The sequence below is a fragment of the Homo sapiens genome, chromosome 7 (genome assembly GCF_000001405.40).
Source record: "Homo sapiens chromosome 7, GRCh38.p14 Primary Assembly".
In the NCBI taxonomy this organism is placed as follows: domain Eukaryota; kingdom Metazoa; phylum Chordata; class Mammalia; order Primates; family Hominidae; genus Homo; species Homo sapiens.
Window position 1 is genome coordinate 73,906,282 of NC_000007.14, and position 7,884 is coordinate 73,914,165.

Genomic DNA, 7,884 nt, shown 5'->3' on the forward strand with positions numbered 1-7,884 from the left:
GCAGATTGCTTGAGCTTAGAATTTGAGACCAGCCTGGGCAACATGGTGAAACCTCATCTCTACAAAAATATAAAAATTAGCCGGGTATGGTGGTGGGCACCTGTTATCCCAGCTACTTGGGGGCCTGAAGCTGGACGATGGCTTGAACCCAGGAGTTTGAGGCTGCAATGATCTATGATTGCACCACTGCACTCCACCCTGGGCGAGAGTGAGACCCTGTCTCAGGAAAAAAATATATATATATTTTAAAGACCCTTGTGAGGCCACGTTCAGTTCCACCCAGCTCTCTGTATCTCTTCCCAGCCAAGCTGCTTCAAAGAGTTGTCTACACTTTGTCTTTCTTTCTTTTTTTTTTTTTTTTTTAGACAGAGTCTCGTTCTGCCACCCATGCTGAAGTGCAGTGGTGTGATCTCAGCTCACTGCAACCTCCAACTCCCAGACTTAAGTGATACTCCTGCCTCGGCCTCCTGAGTAGCTGAGATTACAGGCGTTCACCACCACGTCCTGCTAATTTTTGTATTTTTAGTAAAGACAGGGTTTCACCATGTTGCCTAGGCTGGTCTCGAACTCCTGACCTCAGGTGATCCTCCCACCTCGGCCTCCCAAAGTGCTAGGATTACAGACGTGAGCCACCGTACCCAGCCAGTCATCTACAAAGTGCTGGGATTACAGGCGTGAGCCACCGAGCCCAGTCAGAGTCATCTACACTTCTTATTCCTCACTTCCTTACGGCCCACTCTCTCCAGAACTCTCTCCAGCCTGGCTTTTGTCCCCAGTCCTCCCCGGACAGATGGACAGACGGAAGCTGCAGCAACTCTTGTTAATGAGCGGTCGCTCCTCCTCCCTGACATGTGGTCCAAGCCACTGCGGAGCCTCTTGCTGCAAAGCCTCTGCCCGTGACAGTCTCTTCCTGCCTCTCTTCCAGAGCCTTCCTCTGATCTCCTCTTGCCCATCCCTTTCGTGTAGGTGGCCCTCAGATCTCATCTCAGACCCTTTCTCGAAGTCTGTTTTTTAATTTTGTTTGTTTTTGTTTTTGTTTTGGTTTTTTTTTTTTTGTTTTTTTGTTTTTGTTTTGAGACAGGGTCTCACTCTGTTGCTCAGGCTGAAGTGCTGTGGCACGATCTCAGTTCACTGCAATCCCCACCTCCCATGTTCAAGTGATTGTCATACCTCAGCCTCCTGGGTAGCTGGGATTACTGGCACACACCACCATGCCCGGCTAATTTTTGTATTTTTAGTAGAGACAAGGTTTCACCATGTTGGCCAGGCTGGTCTCGGCCTTCTGACCTCAAGTTATACACCTGCCTCGGCCTCCCAAAGTACTGGGATTACAGGCGTGAGCCCCCATGCCCGCCCTCAAGGTCCTCTTTCTGAGCCATTCCTCCATCCTGTGGCTTGACACCACACTCTCCCTGGGTCACCAGCCTGGTCCTCAAAAGGGCTCCAGGCCAGCGTGTCCAGAACCAGGCTGACGCCTCCACCCGGGGACCCATAGGCCCACATACCCCTAAGTCCAGGGCTAACTGATCCCCCAGCCCTGTTCCTCCCCTCATTGAGAGAAGGGCCCTGACACCTATCGAAGCACCCAGAGAGAGATGCTGGCATCATCGGAGGCTCCACCCTCCCCCTCTCCTCCACCCTCTGTCGCACTGGTAGACCAAGGCCAATCCACATGATCCACTGACTTCATTCTCTCCCTACTGCCACTGCCTTCATCCTAAGCTCATTCTATTTGGCTGGGGTATTGTAACATCCATGTCACCAGCTCCTGCGCCCTGCCCCTCCGGCTGGTTCTCCATAGGGAGCCAAAGGCTTGCATGAACTACTTCTCATGCAAACCTGACTGTGCCCCTCCTTAGCTCAGTGCCCTTCGCTGGCTCCCCACTGCCCTCCAGGTCCTGCCGGGCCCTCTGTGGTCTGGTCCTTTCCCATCTCTCCAGCCGGACGCAGGCCAATTCCCCCCCGACACCTTATGTCCTGTCCACCTCCCCGGGTTCATCACTCCCAACTATGCCTCACGGATCCTCGCTCCAGCTTCTCCCGACCATTCCTGCTGCCTGGAATGAACCTTCCTTCACTATTCCACAAAGCACCTTGCCAAGTGAAAAGCCCCCTCCTTGGTGAAGCGCCCCATGATCTTTCCCATTCCCGTGGCACCCTGTACTTACCACACCAGACGCCACCACTGCCCCACGGTGTTCCCCACCACATTGGGACCTCTTTGAGAGCAAGGCTGTGCCTAATCCTTCTGGCCTCTCCGCAAGGCCTGGAGCAGAGGGAGAGCAAGAATTTACTGAACGAGGCCAGGCGCAGTGGCTCACGCCTGTAATCCCAGCACTTTGGGAGGCCCAGGTGGGTGGGTCACTTGAGGCCAGGAGTTCGAGACCAGCCTGGCCAACATGGTGAAACCCTGTCTCTACTAAAAATACAAAAATTAACCAAATGTAGTGGCACGTTCTTGTAATCCCAGCTACTCTGGTGGCTGAGGCAGGAGAATCGCTTGAGCCCGGGAGGTGGAGGTTGCAGTGAGCCGAGATCTCGCCACTGCACTCCACCCTGGGTGACAAAGCCAGACCCTGTCTCAAAAAAAAAAAAAAAAAGAAAAGAAAAAAAAAGAGTTTACTGAACAAACAAATGAACGAATGCAAGAATAATGAATGAATGATTCCCTGAGGGTCTTAGTCCTGTCTTTGGGGACCCTCCTGAGATGGCGCCATCTGAGTCCAGGCTGCACTCCCAGCCCTGGGCCCTGGAAGGTCCAAGTTCTCAATGTTTCTGAGCACTGGTAAGTATGGAAAAGTTTTGCTCCTCCGGGATTCTTAACTCCATGGGAGAGGTCAGGGTGGGTGGGGGCCTGGGAGCCAGGAGGGCTGGCAGCAGGGGGAGGGGAGGAGGAGGAGTCAGGGGACCAGACACTTGGCCGTGTCTCTGGTGGCAGCAGGGTCTTGGAGCCCAGAGAGGGGCATGAGACCTACCTTCTCACCCTGAGCCAGCCCTGCCCTGGAAGCCCAGGCCGGGAAACCAGGGGGTGGGGAAGCCAGGGGAGAGATGGAGTTTGTGCAACGGCATTCAATGTGTTTGCAAAAAAGGGGAAATGGAAAAAATGTTAATTTACTTTTGATGGTGCCCTGGGGGGTGGGGACATACATGACTGTGGAGTCTCCAACTGCCACCCCGTTCAGCCCTGCTCTGGACACTCAAGGGAGGGAGGGAATGTGAGGGTGAAGGGTGAGATGTTCCAAATACCCTGTCCCTGAATCTCCCCCTTACACCCTGTCACTGAGCCAAATAATGCTCTGTCCATGAAGGAAGTCCGCTCAGGGCTTCTAGAACCACGTGCCTTTCAGCTGAGCAAAGGCTGCAGACCAAGGAAGTGGGACCAGCCGGCTCACTGCTTTTGTCCCCCCTAGGAGGGCCTGTGGCTCTAGAAAAGATCCCCAGCTGGGAGGTACCAGCCCCTTCCAGCGTGGGGGGTCTTGAGCCTGGTATCACCTGAAACTCCCATGATCCTTGCCTCAGCCCCTGAGCCTGGACGCTGGGGTCCAGCCACGACCTGGGTGCCAGGAGCCAGCTGACTTCTCAGCAGCTGTGTGGACTCCGTGGAATCATCTCCCTTCTTGGAGTCTCCGTGTCCTCCTTGGGAATGTGGAGGTTCCTTAGGAGGGAGTTCCCATTCCTGGGCTCAGGGGGATGTAGGACACCAGTGCTTGGCTGCAGAGAGGGGTGGGTGGGAGCTTTAGGTGGGAGGCGGGTGGGGAAGGGATGACCAGGGGCTCTGACTTCCCAGTCCCACCACTTAGAGCTGGAGGTTCTGGACTGCTCAGCCCCAGATCTCAGGACTGTTGACCTTCCTGTGCAATCTCTGCCCATCCCTTTACCTGTCACTTTTGGAGAGGTGACGGCAGGAACACAGTCCCTCGGCTCCTTCATGGTGATGGTTTTGGGTGGGAACGGCTGGCAGGGCCTCTGTGCCTTGGAGCCACCTCAGCTGCCGCCACCTCACACCAATGTCACTCACTCAATGCACTCGCCGAGGTTCTTCTGACCTTAAGACAATGCTGTGGGTGCAGATCTTTTACATGGGAGGAGATGCCAGGAAGCATGGGTAAGAGAGGGAGGCAGGGAAAGGAATAAAAGCCAACAAAGGGTTTGCTAATGAGCAGTGGAGACCCAGTGCCCCAGGGACCTTCCAAAGCAGCACTGCCCAGTTGAACTTTGTGTGATGATGGAACTTCTTAGTCTGCCAATGCAGATTGTCCAGTATGGTAGCCGGTGGAGCTACCGAGTACTAGAAACGTACTAGAAATGTAACTAGTGCAACTGCAGAAATGAAACAAATTTATAGACTTTTATTTATTTGTTTGTTTTTAAGAAAACAGGGTCTTGCTTTGTTGCCCAGGCTGGAGTGCAGTGTTGCCATCACGGCTGACTGCAGCCTCAACCTCCTGGCCTCAAGCGATCCTCCCATCTCAGCCTCCCCACTAGCTGGGACTACAGATGCACGCCAGCACACTTGATTAATTTTTTTTTTATTTTGTAGAAATGGGATCTTGCTACATTGCTCAGGCTGGTCTCGGACTCCTGGGCTCAAGTGATCCTCCTGCTTCAGTCTCCCAAAGTGTTGGGATTACAGGCGTGAGCCATGGTGCTGAGCCTTAGCTTAGCCTGTCTTAAATGTGCTCAGAACACTTACATTAGCCTTCAGTTTGTCAAAATCATTGAGCGCAAAGCCTAGTTTGTAATAAAATGTTGAATTTCTCATGTAATTTATTGGATACTCTACTGAAATTGAAAAATGGGAGGGTTTTATGGGTACTTAAAGGACAGTTTCTACTGAATGCATATTGCTTTTGTCCCATCATAAAGTTGAAAAAATCATAAGTCAAACCATGGTAAGTCAGGGACCATGTGTATACATTTTTTGGGTCCAGCTTTTTTCACTCAGTATAATATTTTTCGACATTCATGTATGATTCTGCATATATTTTGTTCTGAGTACTATCGCACTATATGGATATATCATCATTTATTTTCCACTCTTCTGGGTACGGACATCTGGGCTGTGTACAGTTTTGTACTGTTAGGAATAAAGCTGCCTTGAATATTTGTGTTCAAGTGTTTGTGTAGATGTATATTTTTAATTTCTGTTGGGTAAATGCCTAGGAATATGTAGAATTATGCACTGTATGGCAGGTGTACGACTAACGCTTTTTTTTTTTTTTTTTTTTGAGATGGAGTCTCACTCTGTCGCCCAGGCTGGAGTGCAGTGGTGCGATCTCGGCTCACTGCAACCTCTGCCTTCCGGATTCAAGCGATTCTCCTGCCTCAGCCTTCTCAGTAGCTGGGATTACAGGCACACACCACCACGCCTGGCTAATTTTTGTATTTTTAGTAGAAACAGGGTTTCACCATATTGGTCAGGCTGGTCTCGAACTCCAGACCTCGTGGTCCGCCCGCCTCCGCCTCCCACAGTGCTGTGATTACAGGCGTGAGCCACCACGCCCGGCCACGACTAAAAAACTGTCAAACTGTCTGCCGGGGTGGTTGCTACCAGTTTACAGTTCCACCAACGATATATGAGAGTTTTCATTCATCCATAACCTCTGCAACATTTGGTGTTGTCATTTTCTTTTTGTGTTTTTGAGATGGAGTCTCTCTCTGTCACCTAGGCTGGAGTGCAGTGGCACGATCTTCACTCATTGCAACCTCCACCTCCTGGGTTCAAATGATTCTCCTGCCTCAGCCTCCCAAGTAGCTGGGATTACAGTCATGCACCACCACACCCAACTAATTTTTGGTATTTTTAGTAGAGACGGGGTTTCACCATGTTGGCCAGACTAGTCTCAAACTCCTACCTCGCATGGTCTGCCTGCCTCGGCCTCCCAAGGTGCTGGGATTACAGGTGTGAGCCACCGTGCCTGGCCCCTAATCATTTCCATTTTAGCCTTTGTACAAAAGTTCTCCGAAGATGAATTTGGAAGAAAGAGACTATTCCAGTGAACAGTTTGCAAACCCAGAAGACACAGCCTTCAGTGTCAAAGAAGATGTGCATTCCAGAGAACCAAGGGAGGGCTCAGGTTTTACAGCAAAAGTTCCCGCCCAGGTTCCCAATCGTGTTCGTTTATGCAAATGAAGGATTGAAACTTGCTTAGTTCTGATTGGTTGGTTCAGGTGAGCTCTGGAGTCCCAAAGTTGAACAGAGGCGGGAGTTTTTGAGGAGCATAGAGTGCCTCTAGTTAGCAAATGTCAACTTGGCTCTATTTTAAATTTAGGCCCAGTTAGCCACTCAAGATCCATCTTGAAGCTTTGGCTCTATCAGGTTCACATTGGTTCACAAACCATTCTAATGGGAATATAGTGGTATATTGAGTTTGTGTGTGTGTGTGTGTGTGTGTGTGTGTGTGTGACGGATTCTCACTCTGTCGTTAGGCTGGAGTGCAGTGGTGCGATCTCAGCTCACTGCAACCTCTGATTCCCTGGTTCAAGTGATTCTCCTGCCTCTGCCTCCCGAGTAGCTGGGATTACAGGCAGGCACCACCATGCCCCGCTAATTTTTGTATTTTTAGTAGAGATGGGGTTTCACCATGTTGGCCAGGATGGTCTCAAACTCCTGACCTCATGATCCGCCCACCTCAGCCTCCCGAAGTGCTGGGATTACAGGCGTAAGCCACCACTCCCGGCCGTATATTGAGGTTTTAATTTGCATTTCCCCAATGACCAATGATGTTGAGTGCTTTCGAATGTATTTATTAATGAATATTATAGATACTCATCATTTGTATATCAACTTTGGTAAAATGTCTTTTCAAGTTCTTTGTCCATTTTATTTATTTATTTATTTTTATTTTTTTGAGACAGTCTTGCTCTATTGCCCAGGCTGGAGTGCACTGGTGCAATCTCGGCTCACTGCAACCTCCGCCTCCCAGGTCTAAGCGATTCTCCTGCCTCAGCCTCCTGAGTAGCTGGGACTACAGGCACCCGCTACCACGCCCAACTAATTTTTGTATTTTTAGTAGAGACGGGGTTTCTCCATGTTGGCCAGGCTGGTCTCAAATTCCTGGCCTCAAGTGGTCTGCCTTCCTCGGCCTCCCAAAGTGCTGGGATTACAGGCATGAGCCACTGAGCCCAGCCTTGTGGACTTTTTCTTGTTGAGGAAGTTTGCTTTCATTCTTAGTTGATTTTTTTAATCATAAAAGGAGCTGGGTGATGTCAAATGCTCTGTCAGCATCAACTGAAATGATCATGTGTGTGTGTGCTTTTTTTTTTCCCCTTCCTTTCATCCTATTCATGTGGTGTATTATATAGCTTGATTTTCATGTGTTGAACCACTCTTGCGTTCTGGGGAGAATTCACATTGGTCGTTGGTCATGGTGTAAAATTCTTTTAACATGCCGCAGACTTTGGTTTGCTAGTATTTTGTTGCATCTATACTCATGACAGATATGAATCTGTAGTTTTCTCATAGTGTCTTTCTCTGACTTTGGTATCAAGGTAATGCTGGCTTCATAGAATGAGTTGGGAAACATTCTCTCCTCTTGCAATTTTAGGAAGAGTTTAAGAAAAAATTGGCATTTTTTTTTTTATTCAAACGTTTGGTAGAATTCACCAATGAAGCGACCTTGTCCTAGGCTCTTCTTTGTTGAGAAGTTTACTATTAATGATTTGATTTCTTTGTTTTCTTTCTTTCTTTCTTTTATTTTTTTTTTAGATGGAGTCTCGCTTTGTCGCCCAGGCTGGAGTGCAGTGGCGTGATCTTGGCTCACTGCAAGCTCCGCTTCCCAGGTTCACGCCGTTCTCCTGCCTCAGCCTCCCGAGTAGCTGGGACTACAGTTGCCCACCACCATGCCCGGCTAATTTTTTGTATTTTTAGTAGAGACAGGGTTT